Source organism: Homo sapiens, chromosome 10 (genome assembly GCF_000001405.40).
Source record: "Homo sapiens chromosome 10, GRCh38.p14 Primary Assembly".
Taxonomy (NCBI): domain Eukaryota; kingdom Metazoa; phylum Chordata; class Mammalia; order Primates; family Hominidae; genus Homo; species Homo sapiens.
The window spans coordinates 115529232-115551385 of record NC_000010.11 but is presented as its reverse complement, the minus strand read 5'-3'; the positions used below and the strand labels follow the sequence as shown (position 1 = coordinate 115551385).

General features: G+C 36.1%; 1 protein-coding gene across 9 annotated transcripts in view, besides 1 other annotated feature; it reads right to left on the bottom strand.

Moving 5' to 3' along the window:
- ATRNL1 (attractin like 1) overlaps nt 1-22154 on the bottom strand; it is an 855635-nt gene that overhangs the window by 397614 nt on the left and 435867 nt on the right. For all 9 annotated transcript variants that reach the window (NM_207303.4, XM_011539587.2, XM_011539588.3 and 6 more), the window contains one exon: nt 1850-1928. In NM_207303.4, the coding sequence (NP_997186.1) occupies nt 1850-1928 (79 nt within the window). The remainder of the gene's footprint in view (nt 1-1849; nt 1929-22154) is intronic.
- Nucleotides 14437-15636: an enhancer, noted in NCBI's record as "BRD4-independent group 4 enhancer chr10:117295260-117296459 (GRCh37/hg19 assembly coordinates)". NCBI's record gives its function as "activates an origin of replication core promoter dependent on BRD2, P300/CBP, MED14 and CDK7 cofactors, and independent of BRD4, by STARR-seq in HCT116 cells {active_cell/tissue: HCT116}" and the evidence as "EXISTENCE:reporter gene assay evidence [ECO:0000049][PMID:35650434]".

Genomic DNA, 22154 nt, shown 5'->3' with positions numbered 1-22154 from the left:
ACATATATTGAAAGATTTTGACTTCCAAAAGATAAATTTATATCTATATTTTAAAAATTGAAGTAGTATCAACTTGCCAGAGCACCTGATTAGTATGTAATAAACAGCATTACTACACTGAGATAATACAATATTAGCCAAAATCAATTTGTCATTTTGAGAAGTATGAAAGTTTTATAGCTAAACTATTCATATTAGTTTTAACAAATATTAAATATCATTTCTAAACTTTAGCTACTACATGTAAACATTTATAGGGCTCAAAAGACTAGACCACAACTGAGAATTAGCTCTAGGGTACAAATCCTTCTTTTAAGAGGTAAGGAAATTTAACTAGACAACTTACTTACATTCAGCTGCCAGTTAATGGCAGATATTTTTTACTTACAAATTGATATTTTCACAATGCTATATTTACATAGATGCATTTTATAAATTTTAGAGATCAGATATTTAAATAGTGCTCCTCAGGATGCAATGGGAACAGAGGCTCCCTGATTGATTCAGCCTTCTCTTCTAATGATTAAGGACATAAATTGTCACTTGCCTTATTCCATTAGGGAAGGAAGGCCTTCACACTACCTGCCTATAATTATGATTTTTCCTTCCTGAATCTATAATTTTACTGTAATAGATCATCTAACATGTCTAGAAGATTGTTTACCTCTGCAGAGAATTCCACTTCCTGCCTAATAGTTATATATTTATATTTAATAAGCTCTTTTTCCATGGGATTACTTTTTAACATACAGTCATTCCAAGTAAACCCTCACTGATGCTGCACTGGCCATAAACAGAAAATCAGAGAGGCAGAGAGTATTAAGATGAATGATTTATTTGAAGACAGGGAGGGACTCCAGTTTGCAAATATATTATAGATAGTACTGATCTTTGATGGGTGCTTAAAAATAGACTAAGAAGAACCCATATCACTCACTAATTCTATAGCTTAGAACACTCTGGATTATTTTTACATGTCTTTAAATATTATATTTTTTATGTGGAAAAAAGAAGGTAAGCAATTATACTGTTGTTTTATATTGTTACAAAAACCATCCATATAGAAATATATGGAGAAATGCAATAGCAAATAAAATATTAAGATTAATACAATAGAATACATTATAATAAAAGAATACTGATAAAAACAGAAACTAGTTTTTTGAATAAATGAGGTATGAACAATAAATCTACTGCATACTTTTGCTCCTCAGATGATTTTGTTTCTTCGTTCCTTTCGATTAACGAATATACACAATTTATATAATCAGTTGTTATTTTGTAAGAATATTATTGTTTTCATCAATTTTAGGATTACGAGAAAAATAATTCTAATACAGAAATTTATCCAATGGATGTGCTCTTTAAACAGAGTTGGATTATTAGATAATCAGAAAATGGAAAAGATTTGATTCCCAAAAAAAGAATGTTATAATAAATTTCTAGGAGATAAAATATTTTTCAAAAACCAAAAATAAATATTTATCACTCAGAATTTTAAATTTCAACAGACGCTTATGAAAAATAAAGTATGTCTTTATAGCATAACTAAATGCCTGTTAAATATATTACAAAATTTTTTAAACATAATAATTGTATTCACTATAAATTCCAATACCATTTTTAGAAACTGTTTGCAACAAACCAATGCTTTTACAAATACTAACTTAAAATTACAGTGATAAAGTTTGCTCTACAGCTTAAAAAATACTAGAGTGATTTTTGAATATTAGTATGTAAAAATGATTTGAAATTCTGCATTCCAAGAGAGCATGGTAATTAACAGACAATAGAGATCCATATATTTGCTTAAATCTTTAAACAAAAGATTAAATAATATTACTGATACCTCTCTCCGTCGAGAAGCCCAACAAGTTTGTTTGATCTTCCATACCACAGCAGCCACCAGCAATAAGGATAGGAAACAACTGGAAAATAAAACACAAATAATTTTTGCTCAAAACTTATTTGAACTATGTAATGAAAAAACAGTACATGAAAGACTCAAATACATATATATATAAGTAATAACTTTGTCTAGGTAAACAATCAAAAATATGATAAATTTCCAATGCTTAAAATGTTCTCTCAAAACCAAAATGTACAGGTAGAAAAAATATTTATATTTCTTGCTATAGATTATGGTCAATATTTAGAATTTTCTCTGTCAGAAGGAATGTAAATTTATAATTACATTGGTCTTATGAAGCAACAGAAATCACAACCAAAATCTATTTAGAATTGCTATTATGAGTTATAAAATATGGAAATTTTATAAATCCAAACGTCACACATGTACATTTATATTATTTTTATCACTATTTTATATATGAACATATTAAATAACCTTTATATATGAACATATTAAATTACATCTGAACATATTATATATGAACATATTAAATAACCTTTATGTATGAACATATTAAATAACCAAAATAACCTTTGGTTCCCAACCCTTTTGGCAATCATTTGGCAATGTCTAGAGACATTTTTGTTTGTCAGAACTGGGAGAGGAGTGCAGGGGTGTTGCAAGAATTCTACAATGCACAAGACTGTCCCCAACAGCAAAGGATCAGCAATACAAAATGTCAGTAGTACCGAGGCTGAGAAACCCTGGCATATGCTAATGTTTACTTTAAGAAATAAGTCAGTTACAATGTTCATACATGTGGTCTAATATATTAGGTACTATATGCAATAAACTATGATAATGCAGGGTACTTTGTTAGAAGTAACTCAAGCCTGACAAATCTCAAAATGACAGAGATTTACATGAATCTCATTAATCAATCTCAACCCTGTATCACTGTTTATTTTCCCTTTCTTTGCTCTGTGGTCATAGATTATGCTATGAGAAGACCCAGAAGTGAACAGACCTGGGACACTACAAATTCGCTGGTCACTGGACATTACAAGAAAAACCTGGTTCTCATCCTTAATCATTGTGTTCATCACTTAAGTCACTCATAAGCAGTGGCAATTTTTGACACTTTCCACTCTTGTCAAGTCTTCAATATATTTTTTCTCCTTGCCTATGCCTCATTTGAAGCAGAAGACCTTAGAATATCCTTCAATGACAACGATAACAACAATGTCAATTTTAACATCTATCCATTGAGTGCTGCGCACATTCCAGATGCTGTGCTAGTACGTCACATCGATGATTGGATTTAGTCTTAGAAATCCTTCAAGATAGTATATACTATTCTTATTTGAGAAAAGAGGAATCCAGTCCTCAGAGATTTTGAAGTTAATTGCTTATAGTCCCACACGGACTAAGTCGTAGTACCAAAATACAAATCCAGCTACTTAAGCCTCAAACTTTTTTCCTTTCCATATGCTGGCAGCTCTAAGTGTGCCCACTATCCATCCCATAATCACTCTGTTTCCATATCCATTCTCTAATCCCGCCTCCAGAATCAAAGGAAATCTATTTTTTAAAAAGTCAGTGATACTAACCTTTCCAACCATACAAGTGATTTTTTAACATAGCACCCTTTATGTAATATTCAATATTTTAGGGGACACTTTTCTCAGAATTTGCTTTCAACAGAAAGTCACCATGATTTTCTAGAAATTGTATAAACTGGTGCTTTCTCTATTATCAGACTTTAACTTCTCAATTGACAATACCAATCATTCATTCTTTAAAACTCTCTCCTGAATACTTTCTTTCATTTTGTTTTGTTTTGTTTTCCTTAATACTTCCTAACCTAATATAGGTTAAATGAATATAGGTTACATTCCAAATTCCCTCTTTTAAATTACGGATATTCCTTAAAATTCACTTCATGCAATTGTGCTCTTCTTTTCTCTTGCCCCCAAAGAGAAAGCTCAGTTATTTTCCTGATTTCAACTACGACCTCAATTTAAATGATTTCCAAATCTGCATCTTTACACCTGTCAAAATGAGAGCATCTTATCCTTGAAAGGGCTATAAAAGATTTCTTAGTTTCAAGTCCCTCCCAGGAAGGAAATTCCCAGTACAGCTCTGATAGTGATCCAGCACCTAATTAAATACTCATTGTAGCTGAGAAGTTGCTGACTGACAAGTTAGTGCATTCTCTTTCTAGTTAATTCAAATTTTGAAAATATATATTTATATATATATATATATATTTTTTTTTTGAGATGGAGTCTCACTCTGTCACCCAGGCTGAAGTGTAGTGGCACAATCTTGGCTCACTGCAACCTCTGCCTTCCAGATTTCAGCAATTCTCCCACCTCAGCCTCCTGAGTAGCTAGGATTACAGGTGCATGCCACCACCTCAGCTAATTTTTTTGTATTTTTAGTAGAGATGGGGTTTCACCATGTTGGCCAGGCTGCACTCGAACTCATGACCTCAGGTGATCTGCCGGCCTCGGCCTTCCAAAGTGCTGAAATTATAGGCATGAGCCACCACACCTGGCCAATATTCTAACTTTTATCAACCAGTGCTGTGTCTGCCTTCTAGGTTAAACAAAATCAGTCTGCTGTATGCTAAAACTTCTTTATATATTTAAAGAATATACAGGTTTTCTTGTATGCAGGATTGCCTCAAGTACAGTGTTTCTCAACCAGGAATGTTTTTGTTCTCCAGGCGATATCTGGCAGTGTATCTAGAGACATTTTTGGGTTTCATCACTTGACAGGCATCTAGTGGGATGTTACTTAAATATCATACAATATATAGGTCGCCCTTCCAACAGCATTTTCCTAGCCCAGAATGCTAATATTGCCAAGGTTGAGGAACCCTTCTCTAGTCTGAATTATTATCATAGTGGTTATACTTCTCTTGTTATACCTGGAATAATAGTGTAACTTTTTTTTTTTTTTGAGACAGAGTCTCACTCTGTTGCCCAGGCTGGAGTGCAGTGGGGTGATCTCAGCCTCACTGCAGCCTCTGCCTCCCGGGTTCAAGCAACTCTCCTGCCTCAGCCTCCTGAGTAGCTGGGACTACAGATGTGCGCCACCACGCCCACTTAATTTGTTTTGTATTTTTAGTAGAGACGGGGTTACACCATGTTGGCCAGGATAGTCTCGATCTCCTGACCTCATGATCTGCCCTCCTCAGCCTCCCAAAGTGCTGGGATTACAGGTGTGAGCCACCGCACCTGGCCAATGTAACTCTTAAAATATGGTACTGAGAATGGACACTTTAGATATGATCTAAGGGTTCATTTTTCTGAATTTCAGTCAGACCATCATACCCTTAAGAACTGTGATACAAATATTAATATCACCTCAAACCTACCATGTCCAAGCTGAACCATTAATAATGTTCATGATTAGAAAAGCAACTAACATCTATTGAGTAATATGTACCAAGCACTATGCTGAGTGTTTTACATGAATTACCTGTTTAATTCCTAAAATTACAGGTGATAGATCAAGCATACTGTCATGTGTTCATTTAAAACATGGGAAAGCTAAGTCACAGAGAGTTGAAGTAAACTGTCTAAGGTTCAAAGTATTAAATTGCAAGTTCTTCCCTTTCCCCTGACTTCTCTGTTTCACCATTACTTTCCAGCTAAAATGTTAAAAACAATTTACATTTCAATTATATCATCCCTTACATCCAGATACCAGATCCTGTCAACAGTTTCTTTCAGAAAATCTGTCGTAGCAAATAATAGTGTATATAGAAAAGTTACTTATATTCAGTAGATACAACTTAAATACCAAAATGTATTTTTATATGATTAATAATTCACAACATTCCTCTTCCTTAAGAGTTACATAATAAAGATTCAGTTTGAGACGGGAATACTAGTTGAATTTCTCATGAGGAGCTTAAATTCTTTCTTATCTAAACTTTATGACTCAACTGATTATCGTTTTTGTAATGATGTATAAGGACAACATAAAATATACAATTTTCATAATCTCACTTTCTTGAAACAAGGAGTTATACACTTTAAGGGTTTGTGTCAGATGCTTTCTATGGTAATTCCTATTAGGTTAGCAGTAAAAGAGCTAACGTGACGTAGAAACTTGGCTACTAAAATCAATAAACAGTGTAAGAAAATATTTTTAAAATAATATTCTCATAATCTCCAGTAAATATCAAAAATCCAGTAAAATATATGTTACTACTTGGGAGATAGTAGGTGTCAATACATTTTTGCTAAATAAATGATTTTTCTTTTTTTTTTTTTTTTTTTTTTTGATACGGAGTCTCGCTCTGTCACCCAGGCTGGAGTGCAGTGGCGTGATCTTGGCTCAGTGCAAGCTCCGCCTCCCGGGTTCACGCCATTCTCCTGCCTCAGCCTCCCTAAATTGGTTTTTAAATTGATTTGAATAACATCATTTTTTCTAATACTGAATGTCTCATTTGGCATTATTATCCTTATATAGGGTAATACTTTATAAATGTTCTTGATTTCTAATAAATTACATTGCAAACAAAAGTGACAGTTCTCTTAAAAAATATACATACAAACAAAAAACAGTTTAAGAACACTTGCTTTGCTAAAAAGCAAAACAAACAGGCAAACAATAAATATTTGTCATATTTATTCAGCATAGTTAAAAAGTTATATTCTTCCTTTGGTGACTACTAGAGAGTCTCCGTCTTTATTGACAATCTTGGACACCTGAAGAATGACAGAATTTCCATCATCTGAATTTCTTAAATGACCATGTGAAGCAGTGTCCTGTATTCCATGCTATCCCTTCTGATATAGTTTGGATATTTGTCCCAACTCAAATCTCAGGTTGAATTGTAATCCCAGTGTTGGAGGTGGGGCCTGGTATTCGGGTCAGGGGAAAAGATCCTTCATGGCTTGATGCTGACTTCACAATAGTGAGTGAGTTCTCCTAAGATCTGGTCATTTAAAAATGTGTGGCACTTCTCCTTCCTTAACTCTCTTGCTTGTTCCTGCTTTCGCCATGTGACAAGCCTGCCCCCCCTTCACCTTCTACCATGATTGTAAACTTCCTGAGGCTGCTCTAGAAGTTGAGCAGATGCCAGCACCATCCTTCCTGTAAAGCCTGCAGAACCATGAGCCAATTAAACTCTTTTCTTTATAATTTATCCAGACTCAGATATTTTTTATAGCATTGCAAGAACAGCCTACTACACCTTCCACTGGCTCCTTTTTTGCCCACTGGACTTGATGTGACACAGAAGCATTGTAAACTTTTATTATGTTAAGTGACATATTTGTAGGTTTGTGTATTCCAGTTAGCTTTTCTCTATCTCTTAAATCAAAGGGTTTAATGGGTATCATTGAACACTAGTATGTTTTAATTTGGTACTGTGGCAAATTTGTCACAGAAAAAATAAGTATCTACTGCTTTCTTTCAGGTCTTCTTTTCCTATCACATTATGCAAAAGCTTTTATGCTCCATGATATAGATATTGATGGGGGAATAATTGGGCTTTCTTTTTCAAAAAAAAATATGCTGTACGATAATAATATCAAAAGATCTGAAAGGTTCAACACCCCTCAGTACAATCCACCCAAAGGAAATAGGGAGTAAAAAGAACAAAGAAAGAAAGAAAGAAAACAAACATTAAAAAGCAAGTATATCAGCTACAGGAATAAAAAAGGGAAGCATAAAAACTTAGGGAGAGATATTTCAATAACTTGATTTTATTATTCATAAAATGGTCATTTTGAAAGGATTCTTAATGTAAAAAAATGGAACTTATTAGGTAATCTCATTTAGGGAAAATTAAAAGAATTCAATATAAGTAACATAGTGTGCTATAACGTTACATTGTAATGCAGGTTGCTGTGACAAATAAATACCCTCTGGTGGTAATCTAGTTGGCCAATTGTAAAAAGAGATAATATTGTCGCTATTTTATAGCAATTTGAGGTTAACTGATCATAAATGTCAAGTCTTAAGTACATATTTTAAAAGATGGTTTGGGCATATTATTATATTTCACTGAAAAATGTTAGAAACAGGGAAATTGTGTTGAAATGAAGAAATTTACCTCCTAATAACTGTTATTCCACAAACTATCTTTCAATTTTATACCTTCATGACATTTAAAGGATTTTTTCTTACAAACGAACATATTAACAGAATACACTTCTAACTTAAAATGCAATAAAAATATGAATATTAAAAAGAAAAAATTGCTTATATGTTCAAGTCATCAGTTTGAAAAAGATGAAAAATCAAAAGCCCAGTGGCTGAATGTGGTAAATAATACACGCATAGAATAAATTGGTCAAACTTCTGAGGGTTGTTAAGCAAGAGTTACTGTACCTTAGGAGCACTATTAGTTAAGATTATTTCAAATGCAAGTAACAGAAAACCTAACTCAAACTGGTATAAAGAAGAGATCTACATGAAGTTTACACTCCCTGGTATGAACTGAATTGTGTTCTCAAATTCATATGTTAAAGCCCTAACCCCCCAGTGTGGCTGTATTTGAAGACAGGGCCTTTAGGACATAATTAGGTTTAAATGAAGTTTATAAACATGGGATTCTGATCTGATATAATTAATGTCCTTAAAGGAGAGACACCAAAGAACTTGCATACTCTCCCTCTCTTCCTGCATGCATGGAGGAAAGGCCATGTGAGTACACAGTGTGAAGGCAGCCATTTGCAGAGCCAGGAAGAGAGGTTTTACCAGAAACCAACAACTGGTACCCTGATCTTGAACTGTCTACCCTCTGGAACTGGGAGATAATACATTTCTATTGTTTAACCCACTTAGTCTGTGTTATTTTGTTATGGCAGCCCAAGCACACTAAGACACTTCCCAAAGTCCAAAGGAAGAAAAGTTCCAGGTTTGGTCTGATCAGGGTCCTAGCTACATTTTCTTATGATTCTCTGGACTATGCATAACACTACGCACCAACTTTATTTTCAGGCTTCTTTAATTCTTAGGAACAAAAATGAACGCAGCAGTTCCAAGGCTTGTATAATACACTATTATACATGCCCACTCCTTACCAAACATTGACGATGCAATAAATGGCATTGGCACAATCATGAAGCTAGTGAGAGATAAATCCCATTTAAATTGGATGGTTTGCTACACAGCCACGTGGAGGGAGTTAAATGAAGGCTGGGAAAGAATAAAATCTACTAGATATCATTTATGAAAAATTTATAGAAGAGTACCTAAATTAACCTCCCTGCCACGGTTCTGTAACAGAACCTCAAAATCTGTAACAGATTTTGAGGCTACAGAGCATCTTTAGTCACTCTTAAATTTTTTCCTAAAACTCTACAGAAAATGGAGTAGTCTCAAGCCTCATCTGATGGCATATTAGAAAGACTAATATCTAATAAGGAAAATCTTCCTGGGTAAGTCCTATTACAAGTAGCCTACTTGGATAATACCTTATTCTTCCAAACTTGCAACAAAAAGTGACAAAGGACAATGTATACAGTGTTTCTTCCTACATTAAATGTTTTTTGAAGCACATCTTTTAAAACCATATAGTTAGGACAAAAATTTTAATTATTTTGAAAACCTTTCCTAAATCATTAATGTATAACACAATAGAGAAACCCTAAGTATATAGCTCAATAAATTATCACAAAGACAATATACCCTTGAAACCACCAGCTTGAAGAAACAGAACTTAATTCATTCTCTCCTTCTCAAAAGGAACTATCACATTTATTTTTAATGCCATACTTCAGTCTTGTCTATTGCTAAATTTTTTACAAATATAACACTATAGTATTTTTTTTGTTTCTGTCTCTATCATTCAACACTATGTTCGTGTTACCTATTTTGATCCTTTGGCAATCGTTTTATTTTCCCATTGCTCCACATTATATGAGTATATTTTTCCATTCTATTATTTTTGGGTATTTTGATTATTCCCAGTTTGGGGCATGTAAAACATGCTTCTATAAATATGGTTCACATGACTTTGATGACTTGGAATTGTTGGGCCACAGAGTATATGTAAATTCAACTTTAGAATATAATGTCAACTTGTTTTCAAAGCCATTACATCAATTTCTAGTGTACTAAAAGTATGAATAGTTCTGCATCCTCTCCAACATTTGGTATTATTTGTCTTTTTCTTTTTATCCACTGTAGTAGGTATATAATGGTATTACATTGTGGTTTTAATTTGAATTCCCAGATAAAAATTAAGTTGAGCACTCTTGCATATTTTGTTGGACACTTGGATGTCTTCTTTTGTGAAGTGTATGTCAGTCTATTGTCATTTTTGGAGAAAGGAGTTTTCAGACTATTCTTAATTGATTTATATGAGTTACATAGTGTGAATATAAGGCCTTTGGCTTTTATACAGTTTGCAAATATTTCGTACTACTGTGTGACTTGACTCGTCATAATGCTAATGGTGTCTTTCGATAAGAAAAAGTGTTAGGTTTTTTTGTAGTCTAATTTTGTTATAGTATTTTATGTGTCCTCTTTAAGAATCCATTCTATATTCTAATGTTATGAAGAATAATTCCTACATTACCTTCTAGATATTTCATTGTTTTTACCTTTCCTCCTAGAATTTATTTTATATTCAAAGCAGGGATCAAATGTCACCTTTCCCATACGCATAGGTAATAGATCTAGTACCTGATGAAAGTTTTCTTAAAGCACTAAACATTGAGAGATAGTCCTTGACTTGGTAATTAACTTAAGAATGACTACTTCCATTAGAGCCCTGTTCCCTCCCCCCTTTTTTTTTTTTTTTTAGACGGAGTTTTGCTCTTGTTGCCCAGGCTGGAGTGCAATGGCATGATCTTAGTTCACTGCAACCTCCGCCTCCTGGGTTCAAGCAATTCTGCCTCAGCCTCCCAAGTAGCTAGGATTATAGGCGTGTGCTACCACTCCTGACTAATTTTTGTATTTTTAGTAGAGATGGGGTTTCACTATCTTGGCCAGGCTGGTCTCGAACTCCTGACCTCGTGATCCACCTGCCTCAGCCTCCCAAAGTGCTGGGATTACAGGTGTGAGCCACCATGCCCGGCCTCCACTGTACCCTTTAATCCATCTCTCTTGTGCTACCTTGACTTTACAAAGGGATTGAGGTATTATTTATAAATAATGTTGATATTCTCTAGAGAGATAATTTGTTTTATCCATCTGGAGGCTATGGTCACAATGCATCCAAAGCTTTTGAAGTGCTTCTTGAGTCAGTGCAGCGGGAGGGCTACCCACTGTTCAGTCCGGGCCCAAAGCAGAGTTCTATCTATGAGCTCAGTTCTCCAATTCTTTCGTATGATAATGTTAATTAGGATCAGATCAGCACACAGGCAGCTCAGGAGAGATCCCAGAAGTTTATAAAGCACTATATATTTATTTATTTATTTATTTATTATTATTATACTTTAAGTTCTAGGGTAAATGTGCACAATGTGCAGGTTTGTTACATATGTATACGTGTGCCATGTTGGTGTGCTGCACTCATTAACTCATCATTTACATTAGGCATATCTCCTAATGCTAGCCCTCCCCCTCCCCCCACCCCATAACATTTGATGGGAAGGCTTTTCTATCTCCATTATCTCCTAGGTCCTTTCTGGATTTGTGGGCTCTACTTTTCCATCATGTGGTCAGAAACTACACACTTTTCCTATTGTACCATGTTTTGAGCTGGGAGGACAGACAAGAAGGAAATCAACAGGGTTTATCTTGGCTCTCTGTAGCCAGAGCTCCACTATGATTAGAGGAATATTCCCTTCCCTTGGGATTGTGGTTCTTACTGCTTCCCACTGTGAGCCATTTTGCTGCTGCCCATGTTCCTGCTTCAGACTGCCTGGGGTATGGGTGAGTGAATTCAGGAAAAAGAGAAAAAATGGGAGGGAGGTCTCCCTCATTCTCTCTGAGCTTAAGAGTTCCCTTTTCCACATCATGGGCCAGAACTAGAGGACTTTACCCTGTCCAAACTATAGTAGTTACTTCCAAGTTTCAAATTGCATTGACTTCAGGTCAGGGGGCACTAAAGGGGAAAAATGGCAAACTTCTAGATGGTTCACCAGTACTTTGAATTCTGGTGTTCTTCTCTGCTCTGCCTGCTGATATCATATACCAAATAGCTGCCCATGAATTTTGTCCAGGTTTCATGGTTGAGTTCACTTAGAGAAAAAGAGATGTGTGTTTACACAATCTTACCTGGAACTGGAACCCTATGGTGAATGTTTGACAAAGTTGCAAAAGCATTTCAAAATGGAAAGGTTTTTCCTTTATAACAAATCATGGTGTAACAACAGGATATCCACATGTGAAATAATCAGCATTGAATTACACCTCAACATAAACAAAAAATAACTGAAATGGATCACAGATCTAAAGGTACAATGTAAAAATACAGTCATGTGTCACTTACTAATGGGGATATGTTCTAAGAAATGCATCATTAGACAAATTTCATCCCTGTGCAAACATCATAGAGGGTGCTTAAACAAACACTGATGGTATACCCTACTACACATGAAAGCCATTGGTATAGCCTATTGTTACTAGGGTACAAACCTATATAGCATGTTACTGTATTGAATACTGTAGGTAATTATAACACAATGGTTTTTGTGTATCTAAACATAGAAAAGGTACAGTAAACATATAGTAATATAATCTTATAAGTACCATCATATATGTGGTCTGTCATAGACCAAAATGTTATGTAGTGCATTGACTGTATAAAACTGTTAGAAAGAAATCTATGTTAACTTGAGTTAGGGAGAGTCCTTGGATATGACGTCAAAAGCATAATCAAGTTTTTAAAAAAATGCATTAAATTGAATTTTATAAAAACTAAAACTTTTCACTCCATAAAAGATACTGTTAAGAGAATGAAAAGACAATTCAAAGACTGAGGGAAAATATTTGCAAATCACATCTGGCAAAAGAGTTGTATCCAGAATATACAAAAAACATTCAATATTCAAAAATAAACAGCAAAACTAAAAAGCAATTAAAACTAGGCAAAAGATTTGAAAAATACTTCACCAAAGAAAATGAAAGTATAACTAATAAGCACATGAAAAGATATTCAACGTCATTAGCCATTAAGGAAATGCAAGTTAAAATTACCACAAGATACCACTACACATTTATCAGAATGGCTAAAATAAAAAATGTTGACAGGACCAAGCACTGGTGAGAATGTGCAACAACTGGAACCCTGAGCTTTGCTGGTCGCAGCACAGAATTGTACAGTCACTCTGAAAAACAGTGGCAGCTATTATAAAGATGAATATACATCCACCCTGTGACCCAGCAACCCTACTTCCTGGTATTTATGCTAGAGAAATGAAAACTTATGTTTGTGTAAAACTTGTATGTATGTTGATCACAGCAGCATTATTTATAAGTACCAAAAACTGTAACAATCCATATCTCTCAATGGGTGAATGGATAAACAAAGTGTGATATATCCATATAATGAAATACTACTTAGCAATGAAATGAAATGGACTATTGATACAAAAAAGCACCTTGGATGAATCTTAAATGCAGTAGACTAAGGGAAAGAAGCCATTTGAATGACATTCTGGAAAAGGCAAAACTGCAAGAACAGAGATCAGGTCAATGGTTGCCAGCGTGTAGGGGTGGGGAGAAAGTCTGACTGCAAAGAAGGCTCTATGAGGTATTCACTGGGGCTTTGGCATTGTTCTGTATCCTGGGAGAGCTGGTAATTATAATAAATGATGCATGTGTTAAAACTCACACAACTGTACTCCCCGCAAAAGGAATTTTACTGCACAGAAATTTTAAAATGCTTCCAACAGAAGTAAAAAACAAACAATAAGGACCAAAAAAATGCTGGAAAAAAAGGCAAGTAATTAACCACTGCCCCCTCTAACAATGAAAAAGTGACTGGTATACTTTAAGTATGAGAATACTCATACTTTGAATTATAAATGTAAAAGGAAGATTTTAAACAGTGGAGTTAATAATTTATGTTTAAATTACCACTTTGGCTAATTTACATATAATATATTGATACAAAGAAGTTAGAACTGATGTTCATGTAGGTCATTAAGGAAAGAGGATTTAAATGAGTCCCAAGTATTCAAGTGAGTTAAATAGTGATACCTATAACTGAGCTACAGAAAACTGGAAAAAAAGAGACTGTTTCCCAGTACAGTAAATTCAATTTAAAGCATGTTAAGTTTGAGGTGTAAAGCAATATTTAAGTCAAAGTGTGAAGTTACTGATATGACTCTTGGAGAAGTCTATTTCAGTGTCTAGTACGATAAACCTCAGCTTTGTAAACTAGATGGGGAGCACTGGTTTAACTAAGTTGCAAGAAAACGTACCATCACTAGTTTACTCCCACCGCATTAAATATTTTGGTTTACAAGAACAGTTAGGTCCTAAGTATCTACTGTATTCCACAAAAAAACCATGGAGAAAATTCCTAAGTGAACTTCCAGTACAGTAAGAAATCATTTATTGTTTCTACTTAGCAAAATCCATATCTTCAGGTGTCATTTCCATTACCATATCCATCATCATAATCTTATTTTTTTAAACAGAGACTTTTTTGTATTTGTAATTCTTCACAGTGTCCTTACACATTGTTTAAAAAACTTTTTGGCAAATATTCTAGGATTATATCTCTTTGATGTAGAGATCCTGTGACTAAATTAGGTTCACCTTTTTTCTTCAGGGAGTTACATTTTCTTCTTTTTTCTCTTTCAAAATATGTTTATGTACAACATGATTAAATGTCTTATTTTTGGGAGGAGCCAAGATGGCTGAATAGGAACAGCTCCGGTCTGCAGCTCCCAGCATGAGCGACGCAGAAGACGGGTGATTTCTGCATTTCCATCTGAGGTACCGGGTTCATCTCACTAGGGAGTGCCAGACAGTGGGCGCAGGACAGTGGGTGCAGCGCACCGTGCGAGAGCCGAAGCAGGGCGAGGCATTGCCTCACTTGGGAAGCACAAGGCGTCAGGAAATTCCCTTACCTAGTCAAAGAAAGGGGTGACAGACGGCACCTGGAAAATCAGGTCAAGCCCACCCCAATACTGCGCATTTCCGACGGGCTTAAAAAATGGCGCACCAGGAGATTATATCCCACACCTGGCTCGGAGGGTCCTACGCCCACGGAGTCTCACTGATTGCTAGCACAGCAATCTGAGATCAAACTGCTAGGCAACAGCGAGGCTGGGGGAGGGGCGCCCGCCATTGCCCAGGCTTGCTTAGGTAAACAAAGAATCTGGGAAGCTTGAACTGGGTGGAGCCCACCACAGCTCAAGGAGGTCTGCCTGTCTCTGTAGGCTCCACCTCTGGGGGCAGGGCACAGACAAACAAAAACACAGCAGTAACCTCTGCAGAATTAAATGTCCCTGTCTGACAGCTTCGAAGAGAGCAGTGGTTCTCCCAGCACGCAGCTGGAGATCTGAGAACGGGCAGACTGCCTCCTCAAGTGGGTCCCTGACCCCTGACCCCCGAGAAGCCTAACTGGGAGGCTCCCCCCAGTAGGGGCAGACTGACACGTCACACAGCCAGGTAATCCTCTGAGACAAAACTTCCAGAGGAACGATCAGACAGCAGCATTCGTGGTTCACGAAAATCTGCTGTTCTGCAGACACCGCTGCTGATACCCAGGCAAACAGGGTCTGGAGTGGACCTCTAGCAAACTCCAACAGACCTGCAGCTGACGGTCCTATCTGCTAGAAGGAAAACTAACAAACAGAAAGGACATCCACACCGAAAACCCATCTGTACATCACCATCATCATAGACCAAAAGTAGATAAAACCACAAAGATGGGGAAAAAACAGAGCAGAAAAACTGGAAACTCTAAAAACCAGAGCACCTCCCCTCCTCCAAACGAACGCAGTTCCTCACCAGCAACGGAACAAAGCTGGACGGAGAATGACTCTGATGAGTTGAGAGAAGAAGGCTTCAGACAATCAAACTGCTCCGAGCTACAGGAGGATATTCAAACCAAAGGCAAAGAAGTTGAAAACTTTGAAAAAAATTTAGACTAATGTATAACTAGAATAACCAATACAGAGAAGTGCTTAAAGGAGCTGATGGAGCTGAAAACCAAGGCTTGAGAACTACGTGAAGAATGCAGAAGCCTCAGGAGCCGATGCGATCAACTGGAAGAAAGGGTATCAGTGATGGAAGATGAAATGAATGAAATGAAGCGAGAAGGGAAGTTTAGAGAAAAAAGAATAAAAAGAAACGAACAAAGCCTCCAAGAAATATGGGATTATGTGAAAAGACCACATCTACGTCTGATCGGTGTACCTGAAAGTGACGGGGAGAATGGAGCCAAGTTGGAAAACACTCTGCAGGATATTATCCAGGAGAACTTCCCCAATCTAGCAAGGCAGGCCAACATTCAGATTCAGGAAATACAGAGAACGCCACAAAGATACTCCTCGAGAAGAGCAACTCCAAGACACATAATTGTCAGATTCACCAAAGTTGAAATGAAGGAAAAAATGTTAAGGGCAGCCAGAGAGAAAGGTCGGGTTACCCTCAAAGGGAAGCCCATCAGACTAACAGCGGATCTCTCAGCAGAAACTCTACAAGCCAGAATAGAGTGGGGGCCAATAGGACAACATTCTTAAAGAAAAGAATTTTCAACCCAGAATTTCATATCCAGCCAAACTAAGCTTCATAAGTGAAGAAGAAATAAAATACTTTACAGACAAGCAAATGCTGAGAGATTTTGTCACCACCAGGCCTGCCCTAAAAGAGCTCCTGAAGGAAGCACTAAACATGGAAAGGAACAACCGGTACCAGCTGCTACAAAATCATGCCAAAATGTAAAGACCATCGAGACTAGGAAGAAACTGCATCAACTAACCAGCAAAATAACCAGCTAACACCATAATGACAGGATCAAATTCACACATAACAATATTAAGTTTAAATGTAAATGGACTAAATGCTCCAATTAAAAGACACAGACTGGCAAACTGGATAAAGAGTCAAGACCCATACAGTTGTGCTGTATTCAGGAAACCCATCTCATGTGCAGGGACACACATAAGCTCAAAATGAAAGGATGGAGGAAGATCTGCCAAGCAAATGGAAAACAAAAAAAGGCAGGGGTTGCAATCCTAGTCTCTGATAAAACAGACTTTAAACCAACAAAGATCAGAAGAGACAAAGAAGGCCATTACATAATGGTAAAGGGATCAATTCAACAAGAAGAGCTAACTATCCTAAATATATATGCACCCAATACAGGAGCACCCAGATTCATAAAGCAAGTCCTGAGTGACCTGCAAGGAGACTTAGACTCCCACACAATAATAATGGGAGACTTTAACACCCCACTGTCAACATTAGACAGATCAACGAGACAGAAAGTCAACAAGGATACCCAGGAATTGAACTCAGCTCTGCACCAAGCAGACCTAATAGACATCTACAGAACTCTCCATCCCAAATCCACAGAATATACATTTTTTTCAGCACCACACCACACCTATTCCAAAATTGACCACATACTTGGAAGTAAAGCTCTCCTCAGCAAATGTAAAAGAAGAGAAATTATAACAAACTGTCTCTCAGACCACAGTGCAATCAAACTAGAACTCAGGATTAAGAAACTCACTCAAAACCGCTCAACTACATGGAAACTGAACAACCTGCTCCTGAATGACTACTGGGTACATAACGAAATGAAGGCAGAAATAAAGATGTTTTTTGAAACCAACGAGAACAAAGACACAACATACCAGAATCTCTGGGACGCATTCAAAGCAGTGTGTAGAGGGAAATTTATAGCACTAAATGCCCACAAGAGAAAGCAGGAAAGATCCAAAATTGACACCCTAACATCACAATTAAAAGAACTAGAAAAGCAAGAGCAAACACATTCAAAACCTAGCAGAAGGCAAGAAATAACTAAAATCAAAGCAGAACTGAAGGAAATAGAGACACAAAAAAACCCTTCAAAAAATTAATGAATCCAGGAGCTGGTTTTTTGAAAGGATCAACAAAATTGATAGACAGCTAGCAAGACTAATAAAGAAAAAAAGAGAGAAGAATCAAATAGACACAATAAAAAATGATAAAGGAGATATCACCACTGATCCCACAGAAATACAAACTACCATCAGAGAATACTACAAACACCTCTACGCAAATAAACTAGAAAATCTAGAAGAAATGGATAAATTCCTCGATACATACACTCTCCCAAGACTAAACCAAGAAGAAGTTGAATCTCTGAATAGACCAATAACACCATCTGAAACTGTGGCAATAATCAATAGCTTACCAACCAAAAAGAGTCCAGGACCAGATGGATTCACAGCCGAATTCTACCAGAGGTACAAGGAGGAACTGGTACCATTCCTTCTGAAACTATTCCAATCAATAGAAAAAGAGGGAATCCTCCCTAACTCATTATGAGGCCAGCATCATCCTGATACCAAAGCCGGGCAGAGACACAACCAAAAAAGAGAATTTTAGACCAATATCCTTGATGCAAAAATCCTCAATAAAATACTGGCAAACCGAATCCAGCAGCACATCAAAAAGCTTATCCACCATGATCAAGTGGGCTTCATCCCTGGGATGCAAGGCTGGTTCAATATACGCAAATCAATAAATGTAATCCAGCATATAAACAGAACCAAAGACAAAAACCACATGATTATATCAATAGATGCAGAAAAGATTCAACAACCCTTCATGCTAAAAACTCTCAATAAATTAGGTATTGATGGGATGTATCTCAAAATAATAAGAGCTATCTATGACAAACCCACAGCCAATATCATACTGAATGGGCAAAAACTGGAAGCATTCCCTTTGAAAACTGGCACAAGACAGGGATGCCCTCTCTCACCACTCCTATTCAACATAGTGTTGGAAGTTCTGGCCAGGGCAATTAGGCAGGAGAAGGAAATAAAGGGTATTCAATTAGGAAAAGAGGAAGTCAAATTGTCCCTGTTTGCAGACGACATGATTGTATATCTAGAAAACCCCACTGTCTCAGCCCAAAATCTCCTTAAACTGATAAGCAACTTCAGCAAAGTCTCAGGATACAAAATCAATGTACAAAAATCACAAGCATTCTTATACACTAATAACAGATAGAGAGCCAAATCATGAGTGAACTCCCATTCACAATTACTTCAAAGAGAATAAAATACCTAGGAATCCAACTTACAAGGGATGTGAAGGACCTCTTCAAGGAGAACTACAAACCAGCACTCGATGAAATAAAAGAGGACACAAAGAAATGGAAGAACATTCCATGCTCATGGGTAGGAAGAATCAATATCATGAAAATGGCCATACTGCCCAAGGTAAGTTATAGATTCAATGACATCCCCATCAAGCTACCAATGACTTTCTTCACAGAATTGGAAAAAACTACTTTAAAATTCATATGGAACCAAAAAAGAGCCCGCATCGCCAAGTGAATCCTAAGCCAAAAGAACAAAGCTGGAGGCATCACACTACCTGACTTCAAACTATACTACAAGGCTACAGTAACCAAAACAGCATGGTACTGGTACCAAAACAGAGATATAGATCAATGGAACAGAACAGAGCCCTCAGAAATAATGCCGCATATCTACAACTATCTGATCTTTGACAAACCTGAGAAAAACAAGCAATGGGGAAAGGATTCCCTATTTAATAAATGGTGCTGGGAAAACTGGCTAGCCATACGTAGAATGCTGAAACTGGATCCCTTCCTTACACCTTATACAAAAATTAATTCAAGATGGATTAAAGACTTAAACGTTAGACCTAAAACCATAAAAACCCTAGAAGAAAACCTAGGCTTTACCATTCAGGACATAGGCATGGGCAAGGACTTCATGTCTAAAACACCAAAAGCAATGGCAACAAAAGCCAAAATTGACAAATGGGATCTAATTAAACTCAAGAGCTTCTGCACAGCAAAAGAAACTACCATCAGAGTGAACAGGCAGCCTACAAAATGGGAGAAAATTTTCACAACCTACTCATCTGACAAAGGACTAATATCCAGAATCTACAATGAACTCAAACAAATTTACAAGAAAAAAACAAACAACCCCATCAAAAAGTGGCCAAAGGGTATGAACAGACACTTCTCAAAAGAAGACATTTATGCAGCCAAAAAACACATGAAAAAATGCTCACCATCACTGGCCATCAGAGAAATGCAAATCAAAACCACAATGAGATACCATCTCACACCAGTCAGAATGGCAACCATTAAAAAGTCAGGAAACAACGGGTGCTGGAGAGGATGTGGAGAAATAGGAACACTTTTACACTGTTGGTGGGACTGTAAACTAGTTCAACCATTGTGGAAGTCAGTGTGGCGATTACTCAGGGATCTAGAACTAGAAATACCATTTGACCCAGCCATCCCATTACTGGGTATATACCCAAAGGACTATAAATCATGCTGCTATAAAGACACATGCACACATATGTTTATTGCGGCACTATTCACAATAGCAAAGACTTGGAACCAACCCAAATGTCCAATAATGACAGACTGGATTAAGAAAATGTGGCACATATACACCATGGAATACTATGCAGCCATAAAAATGATGAGTTCATGCCCTTTGTAGGGACATGGATGAAATTGGAAATCATCATTCTCAGTAAACTATCGCAAGGACAAAAAACCAAACACCACATGTTCTCACTCATAGGTGGGAATTGAACAATGAGAACACATGGACACAGGAAGGGGAACATCACACTCTGGGGACTGTTGTGGGGTGGGGGGAGGGGGGAGGGATAGCATGAGGAGATATACCTAATGCTAAATGACGAGTTAATGGGTGCAGCACACCAGCATGGCACATGTATACATATGTAACTAACCTGCACATTGTGCACGTGTACCCTAAAACTTAAAGTATAATAATAATAATAAAAAGTCTTATTTTTCCCAAATCATGAACACTATACTTAACTTTGCATTATTCTGCTCACTTGCATGCTTGCTTCCATGTAGTCATCTTTGATTGTTCTTGTTTTTCAAGCGCTTAACTCTTATTATTTCTTTGCCTGTTGTATTCTTTAGATTCCTTTAATCTTTCATTTTTAATTCCTCTAAATATGCATCATCTCTTACCACTTTATGCCCACTAAGATGGCTATAAGAAAGGCAGTTAATACAAACTTTAGTAAGAATGTGGAAAAAATAAATGTCTGATCCTTGCTGGTAAGATTATAAAATGATACATCTTCTTTAAAAAAATGTTTGGCAGTTTATCACAATGTTTAACCTAGAGTTACCATGTGATCAACAATTCTACTCCTAATTATATACTTAAGAGAAATGAAAATATATATCCACATAAAAACTTACACACAAATGTGCATAGTAGTATTATTCACAACAGTGAAAAAGAAGAAAGAACTCAAATAACCATCAACTAATAGAGAAATAAAATGTGTTATACACATAAGATGAAATATTATTCAGCAATAAAAAGAAACAAAGTACTGATCCATACTACGTTACGGATAAGAAACATTGTGCTAATGAAAGGAACCAGTCACAAAAGAACACATATTGTACGATTCCATTTATATAAGATGTCCAGAATAGGCAAATCTATGGACAGAAAGTAGATTAGTGATTTTTCAGAACTAGGGGTATGTAAAAGGGGGGAGTGACTACTGATGAGTACATGGCTTCTTTTGGGGATGATGATATGTTCTAAAATTGATTGCAATAATGGTTGAAGAATAACTGTGCACTTTCAATTGGTGAATTGTATTATATGTGAATTATATCACCAAATAAAACACAAATTAAAATTAGAAATTGGAAAACGTTTAAAAATTAGACAATGATAAGTAAAAGTTTTGAAGTTTTTTAGTTCTCCTATATGATTCAGGAGGATAAAAGACATACTGATTAATATTATTGTTGGTTAGGGAAATATGCTTGTTAAAATTTAAGAGTAATCATTAAATAAAAAAAACTATAATTCTTAAACTGCTAAAAGGAAAATAAAAGAACATTAGAAGCTCATTCAATTAATAAGAAGCTCATTCAATTAATAAAAATCAGAAGAGAAGAAAAAAGAAAATTTCCATTTATTTCCCTGTCACATAAAATTAAGAGATTCCCAGATTATTAAAACAAAACCAAAATATCCAGATATTTTTGGTATAAAAGAAACATACACAAAATATAACAAGAGAAAAAATTTTAAAAGATATGCAAAAAGACATAGACAAATTCTAATAAAGAAATACTATATTTAAGTTAAAAATGTTCTTTAAGACAAAAAGTAACAATAGGAACAGAGAGAAATCC